The sequence below is a fragment of the Homo sapiens genome, chromosome 3, assembly GCF_000001405.40.
Source record: "Homo sapiens chromosome 3, GRCh38.p14 Primary Assembly".
NCBI classification, from domain to species: Eukaryota; Metazoa; Chordata; class Mammalia; order Primates; family Hominidae; genus Homo; species Homo sapiens.
Window position 1 is genome coordinate 41,222,352 of NC_000003.12, and position 23,916 is coordinate 41,246,267.

The following is a 23,916-nucleotide window of genomic DNA, read 5'->3' on the forward strand; positions in this document are numbered from 1 at the left end:
GAGTCTATGCTGTTACCTAATTAGATCCCCATTTCTACCCTTTGTTTTTACTTCTCTATCTACTGATAGGTTTTTACCCTCCTTCACCTCATAGGGTTGCAGTGAAGAGCAAGATGAATTTTTATTTATGTTGCATAAATTTTAAAAGCTAAAAAATATATATGTAATGTTGGGAAGTCCCAGTGTACAAATGGCTATTGTAAATTTGGAACATGAACTTGCTTTTTTCCATTGTAAAAATGAAATCATTATAAATTGCGGTCAAGTTACTAGGTCAGCCCACACAGAGTTTACCCAGTAATATGCGTAAATGTTTTGCCTTTGCATCAACAACAAGGAAAAACAGTACTATAAAAAAATGTTCCTGGAAGCCGGATGTATCAAAGCACTTCTGAAATAGCTATATAGCCTATAGACATGACCAGTTGGTTTCTGAGTCTGTTGACATTGGCCAAAGGAGAAGCTCAGTGTAGAACATGTTTGGAGTCTCCTTTTGCAGAAATACATTGGAGGCTGGAGTGGGGAACCAATTTTTCAGAAAGGTGGTGAAGTAGTTACATAGCCACTCTTTTAAAGACAGTCAAAAGATAGAAACTAAGGCCAGGTGTTGGCTCACATCTGAGATAGGAAAATCACTTGAACCTGGGAGGCGGAGGTTGCAGTGAGCCCAGTATGCACCTCTGCACTCCAGCCTGGTTTGGCAAGAGACCAAAACTCTGTCTCAAAAAAAAACAAAACATAGTTCACACTTAAATATTTTATTCCATATCTTTACATACCCAATATGTTAATTTATAGTTCAAGATGAACTTGTTTGGGACAGATTTTGTAATAAAGGAAATCGTGTTATTAGAAATATCTAGAGGCCATGAGCCCTTAAACTGTTCTAATTTGCAAGTAGTTCCCTGTGTGATGCAGTTTTTTTCAATATTGCACAATAAAGGCAAAATACGGACAAATTAGATGATAAGATTTATATAAATTTTTAAAATATTGATCAAAATATGTATCCATATTGGTAATATTTGTATTTATAATAAATCATTGCTGTAAATTTGAACTTAGAAAAATTTTACTAATAAAGGTGCTTTTGTGTTGCAAACTTTCATTTGAAAAGTAATTTTTCTTTGTACCAAAAAATCTAAAATTCGCTATTCTAGTCACCAAAATTTGCTTTATGAAAAATAATTTTTGATGGCACTATATCAGAAAACAACTTGTTAAAGAAAATGTGGAGTTTTTAAAATCCCACTGTACCTCTGTTATCCAAAGGGGATCTGTGAATTTTTCTGTGAAAGGTTAAAAAAGGAGAGACCTTTAGGAATTCAGAGAGCAGCTGATTTTTGAATAGTGTTTTCCCCTCCCTGGCTTTTATTATTACAACTCTGTGCTTTTTCATCACCATCCTGAATATCTATAATTAATATTTATACTATTAATAAAAAGACATTTTTGGTAAGGAGGAGTTTTCACTGAAGTTCAGCAGTGATGGAGCTGTGGTTGAGGTGTCTGGAGGAGACCATGAGGTCTGCGTTTCACTAACCTGGTAAAAGAGGATATGGGTTTTTTTTGTGGGTGTAATAGTGACATTTAACAGGTATCCCAGTGACTTAGGAGTATTAATCAAGCTAAATTTAAATCCTAATGACTTTTGATTAACTTTTTTTAGGGTATTTGAAGTATACCATACAACTGTTTTGAAAATCCAGCGTGGACAATGGCTACTCAAGGTTTGTGTCATTAAATCTTTAGTTACTGAATTGGGGCTCTGCTTCGTTGCCATTAAGCCAGTCTGGCTGAGATCCCCCTGCTTTCCTCTCTCCCTGCTTACTTGTCAGGCTACCTTTTGCTCCATTTTCTGCTCACTCCTCCTAATGGCTTGGTGAAATAGCAAACAAGCCACCAGCAGGAATCTAGTCTGGATGACTGCTTCTGGAGCCTGGATGCAGTACCATTCTTCCACTGATTCAGTGAGTAACTGTTAGGTGGTTCCCTAAGGGATTAGGTATTTCATCACTGAGCTAACCCTGGCTATCATTCTGCTTTTCTTGGCTGTCTTTCAGATTTGACTTTATTTCTAAAAATATTTCAATGGGTCATATCACAGATTCTTTTTTTTTAAATTAAAGTAACATTTCCAATCTACTAATGCTAATACTGTTTCGTATTTATAGCTGATTTGATGGAGTTGGACATGGCCATGGAACCAGACAGAAAAGCGGCTGTTAGTCACTGGCAGCAACAGTCTTACCTGGACTCTGGAATCCATTCTGGTGCCACTACCACAGCTCCTTCTCTGAGTGGTAAAGGCAATCCTGAGGAAGAGGATGTGGATACCTCCCAAGTCCTGTATGAGTGGGAACAGGGATTTTCTCAGTCCTTCACTCAAGAACAAGTAGCTGGTAAGAGTATTATTTTTCATTGCCTTACTGAAAGTCAGAATGCAGTTTTGAGAACTAAAAAGTTAGTGTATAATAGTTTAAATAAAATGTTGTGGTGAAGAAAAGAGAGTAATAGCAATGTCACTTTTACCATTTAGGATAGCAAATACTTAGGTAAATGCTGAACTGTGGATAGTGAGTGTTGAATTAACCTTTTCCAGATATTGATGGACAGTATGCAATGACTCGAGCTCAGAGGGTACGAGCTGCTATGTTCCCTGAGACATTAGATGAGGGCATGCAGATCCCATCTACACAGTTTGATGCTGCTCATCCCACTAATGTCCAGCGTTTGGCTGAACCATCACAGATGCTGAAACATGCAGTTGTAAACTTGATTAACTATCAAGATGATGCAGAACTTGCCACACGTGCAATCCCTGAACTGACAAAACTGCTAAATGACGAGGACCAGGTAAGCAATGACATAGCTAGCTTTTTAGTCTGCTTTGAAGTAAATGCTCAAGGGGAGTAGTTTCAGAATGTCTACCCAATACCAGTACTTGAAAACTAACGATGTTTCTGAATTCCTGTATTACAGGTGGTGGTTAATAAGGCTGCAGTTATGGTCCATCAGCTTTCTAAAAAGGAAGCTTCCAGACACGCTATCATGCGTTCTCCTCAGATGGTGTCTGCTATTGTACGTACCATGCAGAATACAAATGATGTAGAAACAGCTCGTTGTACCGCTGGGACCTTGCATAACCTTTCCCATCATCGTGAGGGCTTACTGGCCATCTTTAAGTCTGGAGGCATTCCTGCCCTGGTGAAAATGCTTGGGTAAGAAAACATGTCAGAATGCTTGAAGCTAAAAAGTAGAAGAGTATACTCACAATATTTCTGATGAGGCTTTTTTCTTCTTCCCAGTTCACCAGTGGATTCTGTGTTGTTTTATGCCATTACAACTCTCCACAACCTTTTATTACATCAAGAAGGAGCTAAAATGGCAGTGCGTTTAGCTGGTGGGCTGCAGAAAATGGTTGCCTTGCTCAACAAAACAAATGTTAAATTCTTGGCTATTACGACAGACTGCCTTCAAATTTTAGCTTATGGCAACCAAGAAAGCAAGGTAAGAGAATTATTCTTTATGTGGTTTTCATGGAGCATTGGACACCTCCAGTGTCATGTCATTCCATGCAGTGTTCCTAACCTTTTTGGCACCAGGGACCAGTTTCGTGGAAAACAGTTTTTCCATGAATGGGTTGTGGGAATGGTTTCTGGATGACACCATTCCACCTCAGATAATCAGGCATTAGATTCTCATAGGGAGCGTGCAGCCTAGATCCCTCGCATGTGCAGTCCACACTAGGGTTTCTACTCCTATGAGACTCTCATGGTGCAGTTGATCTGACAGGAGGTAGAGCTCAAGCCAGGTAATGCTCGCTCACCTGCCACTTACCTCCTGCTGTGCAGCCCAGTTCATTTCTGTTCTTTTAAATTTTTGAGTTTCCATATGTAAAGCACTATGCGAAGTAGTAGGGATATGGTAGGCAAGCTTCTCTTCACACTTTTGTTCTTAGGTGGGATGTAGATGTTGGGAATAATAACCTAATATTTAATTTGTGTAGTGGGAAGAAGTGGGGCTATGAGGGCACATAACACAAGTTGAAACTGACTCTTTTTGAGGGTTCAAGGAGACCTCTTGGAGGAAGTGATAGTTGAGTTCAGTGTTCAAGGATGAGAAGGGATTCACTAGGTGAAGGTTAGGTGAGAAAACAACATCTTTGAAACGAAGGAAGGAGATGGAAAGTTTTGGGAATTTAAGAAATACTAATAGTAAGGAGGAAGAAAGGTTTGAGGTGAGGCTATTGAGATAGACTTAGCAGATCTCATAGGGCTTTGTAGAGCATGTTTAAAAGCACAATGGGAAATTTCAGCAGAAGCCTGAAATGATGAAATTTGTTTTTAGAAAATTGGGGCAGTGTTGAAAGGGAAGATATACAGGGAATGAAAGGACAAGCATGAATGATCATTTTATGGTATCTGTTTTTAAGGTGGATATAATTAGGAAAATTAAAGGGCCAAATGATGAGGAGTTAAGTGCCAGTTCTGGTTCAAATTTTCAGTGAATCAGTTTTGATATAACTTTCATCTTAGGGCATTACTCTTGCCTACCAACATAGTTTCTAAATTTTTTTCTTTTGGTGTGATCACTGTGGGAAGAAGGAAATTGGGCCCAAACTGATACATTGTTTGGAGGACTGGGATGTCTGAATTTGAGTGGAATGCTTTAAAAGGACAAGTTGGATAGGGCCCCAGTATGGGGGTCTGAGTGATGGGGTCCAGGAATACATTTAGGTCCAATGGCAAGCTGGCTGAAATTCTTGTATAATAAAATAGGTTGGTAATATGGCTCTTCTCAGACATGTGATCAAGATTCCTTGACTAACAAGATATATATATATATCTTTCTAGCTCATCATACTGGCTAGTGGTGGACCCCAAGCTTTAGTAAATATAATGAGGACCTATACTTACGAAAAACTACTGTGGACCACAAGCAGAGTGCTGAAGGTGCTATCTGTCTGCTCTAGTAATAAGCCGGCTATTGTAGAAGCTGGTAAGTATATGTATCTATTCTGAGTCTTGTGTATAGCATCTGCAGTTCTAATTAGATTACTTTTCTTAGGAAAAGGTGGTAGAACTTTAACTACTGAAAATAAATGGTCCTATTCAGTTTGCAGCCAAGATTTACATTCAGAGTACCTGTCATCTGGATTGTAGCTAAATATTTAAGGCTAGTTTAGGTAGAGTTCTTATTATCCATCAAAAATGATGGCATATGTTTTGCTTAATAAAATTTGTTTGTAATTTCAGTTTTGAGTAAACCTAAGATTTGCTAACAGAGCTGTGAATTTATAGGAGAAAAGACAAATTCTAATATAGTACAGTTTTATGTAAAGTGATTGCTTTATTAGTAGATGCTCATGAGCAGTTTTTGTTTTGTTTTAACTTTTAGGTTCCGGGTAATGTGCAGGCTTGTTATATAGGTAAATTGCATGTCACAGGGGTTTCGTGTGCAGATTATTTTGTCACCCAGGCAGTAAGTATTGTACCCAATAGGTAGTTTTTCAGTTCTTTACCTCCCACCCGTAAGTAGGCCCCAGTGTCTGTTGTTCCCTTCTTTGTGCCCGTGTGTACTCAGTGTTTACCTCCCACTTATAAGTGAGAACATGTGGTATTTGGTTTTCTATTCCTATGTTAGTTTGCTTAGGATAATGGCCTCCAGCTCCATCCATGTTGCTGAGGAAGACATCTTGGTATTTTTTTATGGCTGCTTAGTATTCCATAGTATATATGTACCACATTTTCTTTATCTAGTCTACCATTGATGGGCATTTAGGTTAATTCCATATCTTTGCTATTGTGAATAATGCTGCAGTGAACATATGCATGCATGTGTCTTTATGGTAAAAAGATTTCTTTTTCTTTGGGCATATACCTAATAATAGGATTGCTGGATTGAATGGTAATTCTGTCAGGTTTTTTGAGAAATCACCAAATTGCTTTCCACAATGGCTGAACTAATTTACTTTCCCACCAGCAGTGTATAAGCATTCTCTTTTCTCAGCAACCTCACCAGCATCTGTCATTTTTTGACTTTTTATTAGTAGCCATTCTAACTGGTGTGAGACGGTATCTCATTGTGGTTTTGATTTGCATTTCTCTAATGATCAGTGATGTCGAGCTTTTCTTCATATGTTTCTTGGCCACTTGTATGTCTTCTTTTGAAAAGTGTCTGTTCATGTCCTTTGCCCACTTTTTAATGGGGTTGTTCTTTTTTGCTTGTTAATTTAAGTTTATTGTAAACTCTGGATATTAGACCTTTGTCAGATGCATAGTTTGCCAGTACTTTCTCCCATGCCAGTACTTTCTCCCATTCTGTAGGTTGTCTGTTTACTCTGTTGATTTCTTTTGCTGCGCAGAAGCTCTTTATACTGTCCCATTTGTCAGTTTTTGTTTTTGTTGCAACTTCTCTTGGCATCTTCGTCATGAAATCTTTGCCAGGTCTTATGTCCAGAATGGTATTTCCTAGGTTATCTTGCAGAGTTTTTACAGTTTTAAGTTTTATATTTAAGTCTTTAATCCATTCTGAGTTGATTTTTGTACATCATGTAAGGATGGGGTGCAGTTTCAATCTTGGATGTGGCTAGCCAGTTATCCCAGCACCATTTATTGAATAGGGAGTCCTTTCCCCATTGCTTGTTTTTGTTTACTTGTTAGGTGTGCGGCCTAACTTCTGGGCTTTCTTTTCTGTTCCATTGGTCTCTGTGTCTGTTTGTATACCAGTACCATGCTGTGATTGTAACCTTGTATTAACAGTATAGCTTGAAGTTGGGTAAAGTGATTCCTCCAGTTTTGTTCTTTTTGCTTAGGATTGCCTTGGCTATTCAGGCTCTTTTTTGGGTTCATATGAATTTTTAAATAGTTTTTTTTTAATTATGTGAAGAATGCCATTGGTAGTTTGGTAGGAATAGCATTGAATCTGTGAATTGCTTTGGGCTGTATGGCCATTTTAACAATATTGATTCTTCCTGCCATGAAATAGAATGTTTTTTCATTTGTTGGTGTCATCTCTGATTTCTTTGAGCAGTGTTTTTTGTAATTCTCATTGTAGAGATCTTTCACCTCCCTGGTTAGTTGTATTCCTAGGTATTTTATTCTTTTTGTGGCTTTGGTAAATGGGATTGCATTCTTGATTTGGCTTGCAGCTTGGATGTTGTTGGTGTCTAGAAATGCTTCTGACTTTTGTACATTGATTTTTATATCCTGAAACTTTGCTGAAGTTTATTGGATCAAGGAGCTTTTGGGCAGAGATTATGGGGTTTTCTAGGTATAGAATCATATTGTTTGCAAACAGACTTCCTATTTGGATGCATTTTCTTTCTCTTGCCTGATTATGAGCAGTGTTTTGCCCTGATATTCTGTATTCTCAGTGAATAGATGTCGTCTAAGTATGAGAAACAATTTTTTTCTATTCTGAGTATTTTTAAGAAGGCAACTTATATGTGGTACTTTGTATATTGTGTATGTTGGCAATTGGGGAAAAGAATAGATGGTTTGTACTAGGGCCTCTTGGGTTCTGTGTGTGTGTGTGTGTGTGTGTGTGTGTGTCATGAAAACAGTTACTTTTTAGCTACCAAGCATTTTTTCTCCTTTCAGTAACCCACCTAACAACATTTACTCAGAATTTCAAAGCAAGCTTCAAATCAGTATTGAAAGAAGGAAAAATATAAAGGCATTTAATGGAAGAAAATGTTGGGAATAAAGTATAGGGCTGGCAACACTTACTTTTCTCACTTATTGAGAGTAATTTTACTTGGGAATTTATGAGAGAGAAAGACATTATGATTGCTCCAGGTAACTACTGGCAGAGGAACCATAGTCTTGGGGATAGACAAATGTGGCTGAGTTCATATAGAATGAGGGGATGGGATGTAAATTCTGTCAGCTGTTCCAGCAGTAACCTGTAATGTAGGCTAAAAATACAGATTTTGAGATTTATTTAATCAGAATCCCTGGAGTGTTAATTTTTATATCAAGATCTCATAGTGTTTTATTTGAAGTGACAGGGAGGTCTGTAGATAGCTGGACATGTATGGGACTGGAAGCTTAGGAATCTTTAAGTTCTTCCAGGTTATTCTTATGTTCATTTGTTTATTCTGAAAATAGCATCTAATGTATTTTAAGAAATGGAATAGGCACATAGTATACATTGGGTAACACAACAGATAGGGTCCCCGTGCTTAATTCTTAGTCTTGTGAAGGTGACAAAAATACTTAAAAATATGTGATCCTAAATTAGAATGAGTGTTATGGGAGAAATGACAGCAAATAGTGATGAGAATTAATGGGGAGGGGAATTGTCTAGATGAGAGGGAAAAGGTCTCCTTGAAAAGGGGATGTTAAGTGGGACTGCAGGATGAGAGGGAACCGTCTCTTGTCTATATGAGAAGTGAGGGTTAAACGTTTTCCAGGTAGAGAAAAGGAACACCATGTGCTATGTCTTAGAACCAGGGATATCCAGTCTTTTGGCTTCCCTGGGCCACATTGGAAGAAGAATAATTGTCTTGGGCTACACACCAAATACACTAATGATAGCTGATGAGCTAAAACAAAAAAAAATTGCAAAAGAATCTCATAATGTTTAAGAAAGTTTACGAATTTGTGTTGGGCTACATTCAGAGCTGTCCTAGGCCATGTGGCCCATGGGCTGCAGGTTGGACAAGCTTGCCTTAGAAGGAAAGAGATTGGTCAGGCACGGTGGCTCACGCCTGTAATTCCAGCACTTTGGGAGGCTGAGGTGGGCGGATCATGAGGTCAGGAGATCGAGACCAGCCTGGCTAACACAGTGAAACCCCATCTCTACTAAAAATACAAAAAGTTAGCCGGGCGTGGTGGCAGGCGCCTGTAGTCCCAGCTACTTGGGAGGCTGAGGCAGGAGAATGGTGTGAACCCGGGAGGCGGAGCTTGCAGTGAGCTGAGATAGCGCCACTGCACTTCAGCCTGGGCGACAGAGTGAGACTCTATCTCAAAAAAAAAAAAAAGGGAAAGAGATTGTGGAGATCCAGGTGCTGAAGAGAAGGTCTGCATAAACAGAACTTAGTAATGAGGTGGATGGCCTGGTATGAGGTTGAGGTTAGGTAAGCAGAGCCATAACATGCAGGACTTTCTAGGTTCCTATAAGATAGTTACTACTCATGGAGTTTATTCATGCTTTATTCCAGCTTTGGAGCCATAGATACAGAATACTTTGGTCAGTTTGGAAGGCTAGGTGGGATCCAAATTCTAAACGGTTCCTCAGGGTTATACTAAAGTATTTCTATTATCTTAAAAGGATGCTGAGACACTTTCGATGGTTGTTTATCAATAGCAAAGCATCACAGTGGTGTGTTTAAAATATTAATAATAGCATTGTATAGATTAACAGTTTGAATGACCAAAAGCTAGAAGACCAGACTACTGAGATGTTACAGGCTTTTAGGAATGAAATAGTTTGCTTTTAGAACTCAATAGCAAAGGGCAGATGTCTGAGATGCCTGAAAGAATCATAGAATGTAATAATATAGGAGCTAAGGGAGCAACCAAAAACGGTTTGTGGAGGGGACAACATTGGTACCATGAAGATAAATGGAACCCTCAGAAGGCATCCTTAATTTTTGAACATAATAATTTAAGAAGCTGACTTAAAGTGACTTAAAAGGTCAGTAGGTAGCTGGAAATGTATGATACTAGAATGCAAGAGAGGCAGGCTAGAGATTTGGAAGTTTCCCTCTTAGTATATAGGGGTAAGGGCAGCAGGGAAGGGGAGGTAGAGGTGCCACAGAGTCATCTGTATGGGACTTTTTTTTTTACCCTAGAACTGCTGAATCAGAATGTGTGTGTTTTAAAGTCTCTGTAGGCCATTCTGATGGACATCTGGGGTTAAAATCCATTCTCTTAGAGTTAATAGTTATGTAAAGGGAGGGAATGAAGTCTTAAAGAGGGGAAAGAAGGTAGTCATTTCACAAATACTGAGCATCCTGATCATCAGTCTTACGCAGATCATTCTATTAGTAGCTGGAGCTACTATGAAAAAGGAACCCAACAGAGGTGATCTTTGTCTTGTAGGGAAAGTGGAGTAACTTACACTATGAAGGAGAAGTGCAGGGTACCATAAGAATTACAGCAGATAGACCTCATCTGAGGAAATAAAACAGACCCGAAAGATGAAGGAGACAAGGAAAAGTATCTCTTACTGCATTCAGAAGTGATTTAAGTTGAAGATGGATGAGCGAAGTTAATCTACTATGTGGGCATTGGGCTTCCATTTATACTCCTTTGCCAGAGTAAATGTCCCCCATTTAAGGGTCCTAAAGGATGGAAGATTGTAAACCTTGGAACACATGTTTTGTAGTCAGTGAATTGTATAAAGTCCCTGACAGTAAGTGTTTTCATGCCGTCTTTCTGGATTGTTCTTACCCCAGGAATTTACCTAGCTTCTTTAGGTCTTTAGTCAGATGTCACCTTCACAGTGAGGTGACCTAATTATCTATTTAAAATCGCAGCCCCACTCCATTATTTTTCTCCATAGCCCTTTAATATCATCTGACATACTGTATGGTTTTAGTTTATTGTATATTTTTCTGCCTCTTCCAACTAGATCATAAATTCTGAGGGTAGGAACTTCTGAATATTTTTGTTCACTGGTCTATCTGCAGCTCAGAACAGGACCTGGTACTGAATAAATATTTTTGAAATGATTGAATGGATGAAAAGAAATGAGTAATAAGAATATTACCTAAGGGGGACAGTGGAGATAACAAAGGCTTTTTCGGCTTAGGAAAGGAACAGTAGCTATTTGAGAGTTTGTCACTAGTGAGGTGAACTGGCAAAGTGAAGGAAACTGAGCAACATTCTAGAAAATGAGAGGAAATCAAATACTTAGGTGAAAGGAAGTAAACTCTGGAAATACAGAAGGACACCTCCTAAGGCTAGAACAGATATTTAGGATTGATAGGCACTTCTAGCTAATGACTAGGGCCTTATATCCTTTTTAATTTTCTAGGTGGAATGCAAGCTTTAGGACTTCACCTGACAGATCCAAGTCAACGTCTTGTTCAGAACTGTCTTTGGACTCTCAGGAATCTTTCAGATGCTGCAACTAAACAGGTAAATTCTGAGTAAACTGGTGCCATGGGAATAGAGTCAAGATGAGTATGTGCTTGTACTGACCATCTGTTTTTATCTCCATAGGAAGGGATGGAAGGTCTCCTTGGGACTCTTGTTCAGCTTCTGGGTTCAGATGATATAAATGTGGTCACCTGTGCAGCTGGAATTCTTTCTAACCTCACTTGCAATAATTATAAGAACAAGATGATGGTCTGCCAAGTGGGTGGTATAGAGGCTCTTGTGCGTACTGTCCTTCGGGCTGGTGACAGGGAAGACATCACTGAGCCTGCCATCTGTGCTCTTCGTCATCTGACCAGCCGACACCAAGAAGCAGAGATGGCCCAGAATGCAGTTCGCCTTCACTATGGACTACCAGTTGTGGTTAAGCTCTTACACCCACCATCCCACTGGCCTCTGATAAAGGTAAATTGTCAAAGTAGAATTTACCTTTGTTGCAGAATTGAAAATGAAGCATCTCTAGCTGTTGGATGGCTGTCTAAGCATAGTGATCAATAAGTAGGAATTGTATTCCTTAGTAAGTAGGAAGTATGGCTGCGATAGGGGTAAGATTCTGAAATGTTTGTGTAGTCAGAACTACTTTTAGTTGATACCAATAGATTTAGTGTGGTGGGAATTTTAGGGTAAGAAAATGATTTTGTTGAGTTGTATGCCAGTTCTTCCTTCTGTTTTTCAGGCTACTGTTGGATTGATTCGAAATCTTGCCCTTTGTCCCGCAAATCATGCACCTTTGCGTGAGCAGGGTGCCATTCCACGACTAGTTCAGTTGCTTGTTCGTGCACATCAGGATACCCAGCGCCGTACGTCCATGGGTGGGACACAGCAGCAATTTGTGGTAGGTAAATTCTTACAGTGATACCTGGCTATCTAAAAGGAATGCATAAATCCAAAGGATCCTGAACTTCTTTCTTTGGTCATTGGTTCCCCCCATCCGTCTTCCTGAAGAGCTAATGACAAAGTAAATAAATAAATAATTACACATTTCTATGGCTGCAGAGAAAATAAGGCATAGTGTGGCCCCAGTGATATTTCCTTGGACACGTCCTTCACATGGTCAGTCTTACAAAGGTTGGGTTAGGTGTTTCATAAAGTGTTCTCATTTAATTTACACAAAGGCCCACTTCCTTAGGAAGAGGTAGAGTCATAATTTGAGATCAAATCTGTGTAATTTCAGAGCCTCTTACCCTTGCCTCATCATGCATTTTGACTATAAATATTTAGCAGTCCGTTTTATTATCTTTTCTGTGAGTTAAACTTTTTTCATGGACCTAAGAATATTCAGAAATAAGTAGTAGCATTTCTGTACTCTTAACCACAAAAATCTCAACCTGAAGCTTTGATACAAAGTTTGTGTCTTAAAAGTAGCTTCATTAAAAGTATAGTCTAATGACATTTCTGATTTCTCAGACTTTAAGACCTTATTAGGTTAGTTTAGAAAACAAAGATGGAGCCTACCAGAACAGATGTTAGGAATCTCATTTTGCTGGTTGCTTTGTGTATGTACTCATATTGGGGCTTTGGCTTTCTTCATTTATTACTGTTGGTATTGGCCCATCTCCATGAGGTGACTTAATAGAACGTTGAGGGCACCTTTTATTTTAAATCTCTTTTCTAGGAAGAAGAGAGTTTTTGTGTCCTTGTAAGAATCAAGTTATTTATAAAAGCTGCTAAATGTAGCAGAATAATAACCCCTTTTAAAACTCAAATCCAGAAACAGGAGAAACAGATGGTACTTACATATTGCAAAAGCTATCTTCCTTCTATACATGAGGCTGTCAGCTGAATAGTCTTGGAAGAGTGAGGAGTGAATTTTTCTGCTGGCAACTCGGTTAGTTTTAGCAGTTGGTGCTAAAACTTGGCAAAGTTTTCACCAAATACATGGAAGATATACAAAAATAGAGGGGGCATGTAAAAGAAAAACGTTGACATAGTCTGAGCATTACTTTCTCATCTTCTCTTTTTATATACCTTTTACCCAGAATGATTGGTGCCCTTACTGTAGGAAAGTTGTCTTTGGGATTCAGCGCTGTATGGAAGCTCTGTTGCACTGTGTATGGGGGAGGGGTGCTGCTTTGAATTAGTGCTGCCAGGAGGCCTCTTTTCAGTGACATTCAAGTTAATGGAATCCTTCTTCCTTCCTGAACTAATTGCAAGTTACGGGGAACTTCGGGTATATAATGTAAATAATTACAGTCTAATAATTGTTCCTCAAACTTTACAGAGGAGAATGCCCTGTTTGTTAACCATGTTTCTTTTGGCAGGAGGGGGTCCGCATGGAAGAAATAGTTGAAGGTTGTACCGGAGCCCTTCACATCCTAGCTCGGGATGTTCACAACCGAATTGTTATCAGAGGACTAAATACCATTCCATTGTTTGTGCAGGTATGTTTTAAGTGAAGTGTTCTAGGTTTTATGTCCATAAAATTTCCAGATTGTAATGACTAATAACATTTCAGAAAATTAGGGACCATAATAGGGTTACCAACATTTAATTTTATGAAAATTCCCTACATTTTTTGGTCAGTAAGAGAAACATTGAGACTTGAGAAGAGGGAGGAGATTTCACATTTCACTTTTATGGGTGCCTAGAGGGGAGAGCTGACCTGGGCTGCCAGAGGCAGGGCATAGACCCCCAACCAATTCTGGGTTTTCCAAATCTTAGATCAGTTAGAGCTGCCTCTGAAGAAAGGGTTTATAGCTAAAAAATATTATGGAAATCCAGTGCTCCAGAGCATTAAACACCCCAAGACATAAAATTCAGAGAATATTATTTACTACAGTGTGAATGCCTCTTGCACTCTGAATTGGGAATGTTTGCACCACAGTGGGGGGCTTGCCATGTTTTAGCTTTAGATTTAATTAGGTTTTGTTTGTGTTTTCTCCTTAGCTGCTTTATTCTCCCATTGAAAACATCCAAAGAGTAGCTGCAGGGGTCCTCTGTGAACTTGCTCAGGACAAGGAAGCTGCAGAAGCTATTGAAGCTGAGGGAGCCACAGCTCCTCTGACAGAGTTACTTCACTCTAGGAATGAAGGTGTGGGTAAGTAAAAAGGAACCAAAGCCTTTAGCAGATGTGTACATTGAAGTCTCAGTTTTTCCTCAAGGGCCTTTTTCTCCTTGTCTCTTAGCGACATATGCAGCTGCTGTTTTGTTCCGAATGTCTGAGGACAAGCCACAAGATTACAAGAAACGGCTTTCAGTTGAGCTGACCAGCTCTCTCTTCAGAACAGAGCCAATGGCTTGGAATGAGGTAGGGAAATGTGAGCAGTTATTTATCTGGTAGTTTCCTAGAGCAGGTATGGCAGCTTGTTCTTTCCTCTCAAAACACTTAGTACACATTCATTTGCATTGATGTTTCCCTGGCTTGAGTATTTCTTCTTTATGCTGTCTAGCAACTGCTCTGAGGAAGAACTATAATACAAGCTTTAAAGAGTCTGTTCAGAATCATTACAAATAAGTTGTGTTATTTAAAATTATAATTCATAAGGGAGAAAGATGAAAAATGTTACCAGATTAAAGAAGATTTTTCAAAAGGATGTAAGGAAAGAGGCAGTGTTAAACACTGTTAAGAGGACAGTTTATCAGTATTTTTTACTAAACTTTAATAAAACTTTTCTATTTGAATTTCTGCTATGAATTTTTCTTCAGCATTTGTCCTCAGTACAGGTGGTTCCTTGAAACATTGTTTCTAATAAAACTAGAACATCCTGATATTTTATCCATTCTATAGAGATCATTGATGGTACACAGACATACAGTGGATTATGTTTGTTGAGTGAATGGAAAGAGAGATTGTTAGGTTTACAACGATGCAGCTCTTGAGACCGGAGTTTAAGATCAGCCTGGGCAACATAGTGAAACCCCATCTTTAGCTGGGCATGGAGATGGATGCCTATAGTCCTAGCTACTGGGGAGACGGGGGCAGGAGGATTGCTTGAACCCAGGAGTTAACAGACTGCACTCAGTGACAGAGCCAGACTCCAACACAAAAAAAAAAAAAAAAAAAAAGCAAATTACCAGTGAGTAGTGTGTTACTTGGGTTTTTAATAGGCATCTTATTAACATGTTCCAACTTGAGCCCTTAACTTTCTCCACCTACCCCCTTCCACAAACCTGTTTTCACTGTCTTCTCTGTCTTAGTTAATGTCAGCTTTGTCTGTCCAGCTGCTCAGGCTAAAACTTTTCTTTCATATAACACATCCTATCAGCAGCTCCTGTTTGTGGGTAGGCATTTTGCCTTTTTTTTTTTTTTTTTTTTTAAACTGCTATATCTCTAGCATGTAGAACAGTGCCTGGCAGCACATAATAGGTGCTTAATATAATATTTGTTGAAAGAACAAGTCAGTGAGTATTTTTAATGTGAGGTGCAAAGAGAAAAAAAAATGTATCTTTGAGGTGTGGAGTTTTGAAGAACTTCCATTTTCTAAGCATTTGTGTAATGTTGGAGTTACTTGTTCCTTTTGTAATCTGAAAGTATGCTTTAAAAAAAATTAGTGTACTTTTGAGAATTTTCATTTTGCTTTCTATTCTTCCTTGCTTTGTGCATGTTTATCTAGACTGCTGATCTTGGACTTGATATTGGTGCCCAGGGAGAACCCCTTGGATATCGCCAGGATGGTATGTGTCTCATATTTCTCGATTAACTCCAGATCAAGCTAAAGTTCTAAAACTTTTATCAGAAGAGCCGGTTTGCTCATCTGGGAAACCAGTGTTGGCAGAAAAGTAGTGGCTTCAATTAAAAGCAGTTCTTAAATTCCAGTCAGCAACAGTATCTTTAATGGAGCACAGGGAATTCAGAGCCACACAATGAGTAGCAGTAGGATTACACCACCAACAAATACATGCTACTGCTAGGCCTCTGCAGTGCAGGATGTTACAATTTACCTGGCTTTTTATTCTCTTTTTGGCCAGAGGACTCATAATACCTTTGTCTACAAGCTACCCAAGGAAGATAGGAAAACTCCTGTTTCTAGGCTCAGATCTCGGGTGGGTTTTTACATAGTTGCATTATCATCAGGGTTTTCTTGAAAAGCTAATTTAAATCTGGGTAATGAACATGGAGGATGGCATAGACCACTAACAATTATAACTGTCTTACATTTATAACCGCATCTGCTTCTACCTAATTATGAAACCACTAAAGCGCAGATTCTTACTGTGAGAAATAACATGTCAACCCTAAGATAAAATATGTTGAGGTTTCATGGAAATAGTGCCTTTCCTTAGTACTTTTGTGGGTGTCACTTGGCCTTTTTGTCAAGATAGATTACACCTGCCAGACCTCATTATTGTCTTAATCCTCCTTCCCATGACTTCTCACTGCCTAGGTGGTCACACAGTAGATTCCTGCTTCTTCTCCTCGGGAACCCCAAGTCTCTTGACAGGGGTAAATGCAGAGTGTTCAGGGTTAGACTAATGATGTGACTAGGCCCTGCTGGTGTGCCTGTCTGATGGAAATAGATGTTATTTGTGTAGTCTCATGGGTGGCCTGGCACTGAGTAATTACTTGGCTAAAGAAAGCTGGAGGTTGAAGAGGCTAGAAAGCGTTGTTTTCTGACAAGTTTGCTGCTGAACTTTGGATGCCCTAACCTCAGTGTTAACGTCTATGTCTGCTTCTCTCCTCTCTCTTTTGCCTTCCTTCTTGCCTATTTTGTTGACACCCTGACTCTTCTAGATCCTAGCTATCGTTCTTTTCACTCTGGTGGATATGGCCAGGATGCCTTGGGTATGGACCCCATGATGGAACATGAGATGGGTGGCCACCACCCTGGTGCTGACTATCCAGTTGATGGGCTGCCAGATCTGGGGCATGCCCAGGACCTCATGGATGGGCTGCCTCCAGGTGACAGCAATCAGCTGGCCTGGTTTGATACTGACCTGTAAATCATCCTTTAGGTAAGAAGTTTTAAAAAGCCAGTTTGGGTAAAATACTTTTACTCTGCCTACAGAACTTCAGAAAGACTTGGTTGGTAGGGTGGGAGTGGTTTAGGCTATTTGTAAATCTGCCACAAAAACAGGTATATACTTTGAAAGGAGATGTCTTGGAACATTGGAATGTTCTCAGATTTCTGGTTGTTATGTGATCATGTGTGGAAGTTATTAACTTTAATGTTTTTTGCCACAGCTTTTGCAACTTAATACTCAAATGAGTAACATTTGCTGTTTTAAACATTAATAGCAGCCTTTCTCTCTTTATACAGCTGTATTGTCTGAACTTGCATTGTGATTGGCCTGTAGAGTTGCTGAGAGGGCTCGAGGGGTGGGCTGGTATCTCAGAAAGTGCCTGACACACTAACCAAGCTGAGTTTCCTATGGGAACAATTGAAGTAAACTTTTTGTTCTGGTCCTTTTTGGTCGAGGAGTAACAATACAAATGGATTTTGGGAGTGACTCAAGAAGTGAAGAATGCACAAGAATGGATCACAAGATGGAATTTATCAAACCCTAGCCTTGCTTGTTAAATTTTTTTTTTTTTTTTTTTAAGAATATCTGTAATGGTACTGACTTTGCTTGCTTTGAAGTAGCTCTTTTTTTTTTTTTTTTTTTTTTTTTGCAGTAACTGTTTTTTAAGTCTCTCGTAGTGTTAAGTTATAGTGAATACTGCTACAGCAATTTCTAATTTTTAAGAATTGAGTAATGGTGTAGAACACTAATTCATAATCACTCTAATTAATTGTAATCTGAATAAAGTGTAACAATTGTGTAGCCTTTTTGTATAAAATAGACAAATAGAAAATGGTCCAATTAGTTTCCTTTTTAATATGCTTAAAATAAGCAGGTGGATCTATTTCATGTTTTTGATCAAAAACTATTTGGGATATGTATGGGTAGGGTAAATCAGTAAGAGGTGTTATTTGGAACCTTGTTTTGGACAGTTTACCAGTTGCCTTTTATCCCAAAGTTGTTGTAACCTGCTGTGATACGATGCTTCAAGAGAAAATGCGGTTATAAAAAATGGTTCAGAATTAAACTTTTAATTCATTCGATTGTGTCACTCTTTCTTTTTTTCTTGTCATTAATAAATGGTTTGTGAGGGTGGTAAGTAAGTTTATCCAACTCAACTTTATCCTGAACTTTATCCTGAGATAGATAGATACATAGTGAAGTAATTTGTTGTAGCGATAGAGAGGGCCCTACTTCTCTAGATGCAATTTGCCAAGTTTCTTTAGCATTTGGCCCTGGATTACGCTGGACCCCTAAAAAAGTGTTTCAGCCTTGCACATTGTGATTAGTTCTGGGCTTTGGTGGGAGAAAGCCAAGCAGACTATCCATCTATCTATCTCTACCCCAATCCCCCTCAGATGATTTGATTCCATTAAAGTAATGAAATAAATAGTAACTACCCCTACCTGGATTTGGATTTGAATCACCTTCACCCAAGTGTGACTCATTGGGAGAGGGGAATTCCTTCAACTGGACTTTGAACTAATAATAATTAAATAAATTAAATAGGTTTAAGTGTTGATGTTTATCTGAACATAATCAGAACCAGAATGAGCCTTCCACAGTACCTGCCAGATGATCCTATCATCCCGGTGGTAGGTCTGACAAGCTTAGTTCATCTCATCTCTTCAGGTAGACCTGTTTGTTAAGACTTGTGTTTTGGTCTTTTAAAAAGTAAAAGAAAGAAGTGTTTTGTCTTTAGGGAGAGCTCTTTCTGATTTACTGTTTTTATTTTGATGATGATTGATAGTGACTATTAATTATGAGAAAAACATACATTCAGTTCTTTTTCGTTAAAAATCAGCTTCATCTGGGGAGGCCTTTTTGTGAATGCCCTTGCTTTGCAAAAATGAATTCATTGTGGTCTAAAATGTAATTAGGGTTTGAAAAGAAACATTCACATAGCTGATGATGTGGTAGGTCTCAGGTTCTGTCTCATGTGTGATAAACCAAACCAGCCAGTATTTCAAGAAGCCTAGGGCTATTGGTAGGTTAACACCGTGAAGATCTTCAGTGAATTCAGCTTTTAACATAAAGAGCCACCGCACGGTGTTTCAATTACAGAAAGAACAACTTTTTAAAACCAGAGAATGTTTTCAGAGCTTTGCTAATTCATTGTATTTTATTTTTGAAGTTTAAAAACTTAATGTGAGAGTTAATCCAGTTCAACAAGGTGGCTCTGGAAGTACCAAGGGTGAATAATAGCCAAGACGCTTAGGAAAAATAGCACTTGCTCTAGCAGCTGTCAAGGCCTAACTACTTAATACAAAGCTAAAGTTAGTTAACCCTGTTACAGGAATAGGGATATAAATACAGATTAATACAGAATAATACACAGGCATTTAAAGACTCTTCAGAGACAGCGTTGGAGATCCGAGTGGGAGGAGAGCAACTTTTTCATAAAGGTGTGAAACAGCCGTTGGAATAAAACAATACAGAAAAACATCCATGACCCAACAAAATATCAAGATTTTAAATAAAGGCAGTAGTACTGATTTTTCTTTTGCCTCAAGCGCCAGTAAGGCTTGGTAGGGCACAACGCTGACAGTCTACACTGGACGCCCATGTGTCCAACAATCTCTGTTCACACGAGACAGTGCAGTGAAAAACTACAGCTTCAGTGATGTGGGTGTCAGTATAGTATGCATATATCTATCTCACATAACACTGAACAAAAGCAAGTTACAGATGCATGCTTTAGAACTCCATTGATCATCAATTAAAAAAAGGGACAAGCTATTTTAAGGAAAATATCCACAGATGGAGCAAGGAGATGATTAGATGACTATAGAAATCAGAATAATGGTTAACCTGGAGAGGGAGGTGCATGGGATGCTGGCAAGGTACCTAACCTTTCCTGTAAATAGTGGTGAAGAAAGTGAGGTCAAGTTTTCAATAAGAGAAGTAGTGGTGGGGAGGAAAAGGCCTAAAAGGAATGCTGCCCACTTGCATTTCCGGGTACAGGAGGTGAAAATGACAAAATGAACATGGCCGTTGAGAATAGGAGGGCTTTCCAGCCTGAGTGTTCTTTTTTCAGTTGTGCTGTAGTTATGAGACAGCCTTGAGAGTTAAGACATTTGATCCCATTGCAGCAACCACCATTGAACCAAAGAAGGAAGCTTTTCTATGTTGGAGCAGATCTTACAGACATGAGGCTTTGAAATCTGATGATCTGAATCCTTAATAATGAAAGATCTTAAGATAAACACACTCTTTAACTCTTGGTTGCTATAATAAAAAGATGTGAATTGTGCTGTTTTGTTTATAAAGCAAAAATGCTAAGTTGATCTGCAGTTCTATTAAGTGAGAACCTGCCTTTCCTTGCCTTGAGCAGATCACCCACCAAAGTGAAATTATGAAATGATGGGGCTGCAGGGGCTGTCAGGGCAGTTCTTCCTTTTTCTTTTATCGCAGCCTCCTATGTGGAATTCTGTATAATATCCATTCCACCACTTGAGACTCCAGTAAACGTAGAAGGAAGTGACAAGTTTCAGAGTTGAGGTTGTGGGGGAAGGTCAGAACAGGTATAGGGGTATGCAGGAAGGCAAAGGAGAAACCCCATCTCTATGTATTTCCAAAGTAGGTTTTGGCATGAATAGGGAAAGGTCCGTGTGTCCATAAATGTAATTTCCATGTTAGGTACGACTGAGAGCCACTCTGTGACAAAGCAGTTCTACTCAGAATTATTTGAGGTATACTCACGAGTATGTACAAGGAATTCATTGCAACACTGTCAAAGATAGCAACCCAAATAGGTGTCAAAAGGGAACCTAACTAGTTAAGCAAATTTTGATGCATCTATTTGGTGGACCACTCTGCAGTCAAAGGGGGGAAAAAAAACCAGCCCATAAAGCTGTGTTTTGGAATAAAATGGTCTTCAAAATACATAGTAAGAGAAAAAGCAAGGAGCAGAGTTGACAGCTGCTCACATATGGGTAAAAAGGGGTGGGTGCAGAATCTTTGTGAAGATAGGCATAGACCATCCCTGGATGCACACGAAGACCCTAGTGGCAATGGGCACCTTGCAGGAGGAGACAGGGAGAGGACTAACAGCGTGTGAGGGAGGAACTCTGCTGTCTATCTTTTGGGTGTTTTCACCAGGCTTCATTTGTACCAGGCTTCTGGATTGGATATCACCATTCAAATGTAATTATTTATTAAAACACCTAATGGATGCATTTGTCCACCCGCCTCAACATCAAGCCTCTGATGGGAGAGGCCAGAGGCTGGATTTTAAGGGCAGATTAAAACTCCTCGTTCTAGGCCCAGCTTCTTGCTCCCACACACCACTTCTCAACCCCACTGAAGCTTGAGGCCAAGGCTGCCTAGCTTTGCCTAGTCTCGCCCAACCCCACTCCAGACAGCTGTCCCAAGAGGCCAAGCCTCTTGTAGCTTTCTTGCAGCCTCTTCCCCCGTTCCCTACCACTTGCTACCGTAGCCCCTGTATGTATAAGATTATATTCTACATTGCATTTTTCTGTTGCCAGGGGAAAGAGAAAGGGCATCTTGCTTCAGGTGGAGACAGGTGAGACCTGGTGAGGGAGATTCCTCTCCCATCACCTTGTACGAGAGCCTTAGCTACCAGAGCCCCCATTTTCTCAACTATAACACAGGGATGATGCCCGCCCTGTGTTCACAGAACCGACCTGAGAACCTCATAGGAGAAACTTGAAAAGATAAACTGCAAAGAACCATAAGATAGTAAATTCTGTTGCTGCATTCCACTGACTCACCTACTTAGGTGCCATGAGTGATTGTCAGCACCTTTCAGGACACCTGTGACCAGAGTTACCCCAAATGGTGCTTCACGGAGGGACAGCTTAATGGGGATGCAGACTCGGCTGTAAGTTAAGGCAAGGTCTTAGAACTTTGGGCTTGCTGTTAGTGGAGGGAGAGGAATAGACCTGTGTGCAGCCACTCACCTGAGCCGCCTCTGCCCTATTGCTTGTCACCTCCTTTGCCTCTCACCTCTGTGACTTCAGTGACCCATTCATCCCTGAAGAGAGCCAGTGGATTGTAGCTAATAAGCAGATAGCTGAAGCTTGGGGATGGAGGGAAGGAGAGGGCTAGTAGGTGTGGGCCCTTTGCCACTGCCAGAATCCTAAGAGCTGAGGGGCCCGGGGGGCCAGCTCTGCTCTCAGAATGGAGCCACTTAGGCATGCCAAATACTAAGGTACAGGCCTGGGGAGGGCAGGGAAGGGTTACTGCTGTTAGCTGCCCTCTGCCCAACCAGTCTGCTCATATCCCCTACCTCTGAACTCAAATGGACCTGGGCTGCTGCTTTCCATAGGCACCTTTCCTCCAGGACACAGCCTCACCAGGGACAAGGCTTGGCATGGACTAGCTTTAGTGGCCCAACATGTTTGGCAGGGCAGTGGCTCTGCTTGGGACCATCATCTCCTTGTCCTTGCTTACCCAGATAAGCTTTTCCCCAGACAGGCAACACCGGGGCCTAGGGCCAGGACTGGCCCACTGAACAAAATGGCTCTGGAATATTAAGAGTTTCCTGTTCTCTGTTAAACAGCGAAGACGACTCCTTGCTCAAGTGAGAAGGGGAAATAAGAAGAATCTTCCATTGCTCTGAAATACCCTGAGAGGACTCCAGACCCAGAACCCCATGGGCGTTACCCCCACCCAAGAACTAAAGGGAGACGGCAAAGAAAACAGACCTCAGCCTGTTCCTGTATCCAGCAGGCAAAGCCACTGGAGCTGAGAACCAAGCCTCTGGCTGCTCCATCAAGTACTCCCCACTCAATCCCAGAAGTGCAGGCAAAACCAGCCAGGCCAGGGCCACATGGGCACACACAGCTGGAGATGAGCACACCACCCAGGAGGACTTTAAATAGTGAAGCCTCCTCACCGTGGGCACTAAGTAGGCCATGTGAGGTCAAATGAAGCTGCCTGTTCCTGGGTCACACTCTTAGAGGGCACACTCTCATATCCCAATTAGTCACAGCCCAAGCTTTGTGCACCCCATTAGGGGATGAACACAGGGTATGGAGTCAGAGTCCTGGGTTCAGCCAAGCTGTGGGTCCTTGAGCAAGTGGAAACGGCTCCTCTGAGTCTGTTTTCTCATCAATGAAATGAAACTGAGGCGGCTTGCTTCGCAGGTTGTGGTGGGGATTACATAAGGTAATTGACATTCCCTTTGATGCAGTTGTGCACAGAACTGTGTTCATTGTAAGGCAATGAAACTATATCTGAACTATAACACAGGGACGAGGACGACGTCTGCCCTGTGTTTACAGAACTGACCCAAGAACCTCATTAAGTAATGAGGTACTGATGAGGATGCTTCTGGCTGGGCTGCAATGAAATGCTTTACAATGAAAACAACAGTTCTGTGCACAACTGCATCAAAGGTAATGTCAAATATAAACTGTCAAACTACCCAGGTTACTGTGTCAGAGGGGCTGTTGGTGACAGCATGACCAGCTTCCTGACATGCAGTAGATGCGGCCATCTATGGGCCAACATGGCCACTGCCTGGGACAGAATCCATCTGGGCAGTGTTAGAAGGCAAATCCCCTAAGAAGAAGCACCAGAGCATTGGAGCTGGGAAAAGGGTTGGCAGCCACTGATTTAGTGTAGCCTTTTCATTTTGCAGATGGGGGAAAACGAGGCCCCAGAAAGGCCAAGGCATGACCTCAACTTACCCATCTGGTTGGAGCTGCCCAGGGCCCACGCCTACCTACCCAGTCCAGATTCAAGAGTAAGCCTGCCCAGTACAGCAGTCCCAGCATACTTCCACAGTATCCACCCAATATTGCCATGGGCTTGACTGACTCTTACATAGGAGGTTCTAAACATACGTGAGGGAACATGAGGCAGACATGGGATTAGGTGGCAGAAGTTGGGGGAAATG

General features: G+C 40.4%; 1 protein-coding gene across 14 annotated transcripts in view, besides 2 other annotated features; it reads left to right on the forward strand.

Annotated features, from left to right (window-relative positions):
- Positions 1-18,092, forward strand: part of CTNNB1 (catenin beta 1) — a 40,939-nt gene extending 22,847 nt beyond the window's left edge. For 5 of the 14 annotated variants that reach the window (NM_001904.4, XM_024453356.2, NM_001438873.1 and 2 more), the window contains 14 exons: positions 1,670-1,730; positions 2,175-2,402; positions 2,603-2,856; positions 2,983-3,221; positions 3,309-3,510; positions 4,857-5,001; positions 10,990-11,093; positions 11,178-11,516; positions 11,788-11,946; positions 13,373-13,492; positions 13,998-14,148; positions 14,237-14,358; positions 15,665-15,725; positions 16,783-18,092. In NM_001904.4, coding sequence (NP_001895.1) covers positions 1,718-1,730; positions 2,175-2,402; positions 2,603-2,856; positions 2,983-3,221; positions 3,309-3,510; positions 4,857-5,001; positions 10,990-11,093; positions 11,178-11,516; positions 11,788-11,946; positions 13,373-13,492; positions 13,998-14,148; positions 14,237-14,358; positions 15,665-15,725; positions 16,783-16,991 — 2,346 coding nt within the window. In that variant the 5' untranslated portion in view covers positions 1,670-1,717 and the 3' untranslated portion in view covers positions 16,992-18,092. Of the gene's footprint in view, positions 1-1,669; positions 1,731-1,838; positions 1,971-2,174; positions 2,403-2,602; positions 2,857-2,982; positions 3,222-3,308; positions 3,511-4,856; positions 5,002-10,989; positions 11,094-11,177; positions 11,517-11,787; positions 11,947-13,372; positions 13,493-13,997; positions 14,149-14,236; positions 14,359-15,664; positions 15,726-16,782 lie in introns of all 14 variants that reach the window. The other 9 variants (NM_001098210.2, NM_001438871.1, XM_047447480.1 and 6 more) reach the window with 5 other exon arrangements.
- Positions 2,057-3,256: an enhancer, noted in NCBI's record as "BRD4-independent group 4 enhancer chr3:41265899-41267098 (GRCh37/hg19 assembly coordinates)". NCBI's record gives its function as "activates an origin of replication core promoter dependent on BRD2, P300/CBP, MED14 and CDK7 cofactors, and independent of BRD4, by STARR-seq in HCT116 cells {active_cell/tissue: HCT116}" and the evidence as "EXISTENCE:reporter gene assay evidence [ECO:0000049][PMID:35650434]".
- Positions 11,076-12,275: an enhancer, noted in NCBI's record as "BRD4-independent group 4 enhancer chr3:41274918-41276117 (GRCh37/hg19 assembly coordinates)". NCBI's record gives its function as "activates an origin of replication core promoter dependent on BRD2, P300/CBP, MED14 and CDK7 cofactors, and independent of BRD4, by STARR-seq in HCT116 cells {active_cell/tissue: HCT116}" and the evidence as "EXISTENCE:reporter gene assay evidence [ECO:0000049][PMID:35650434]".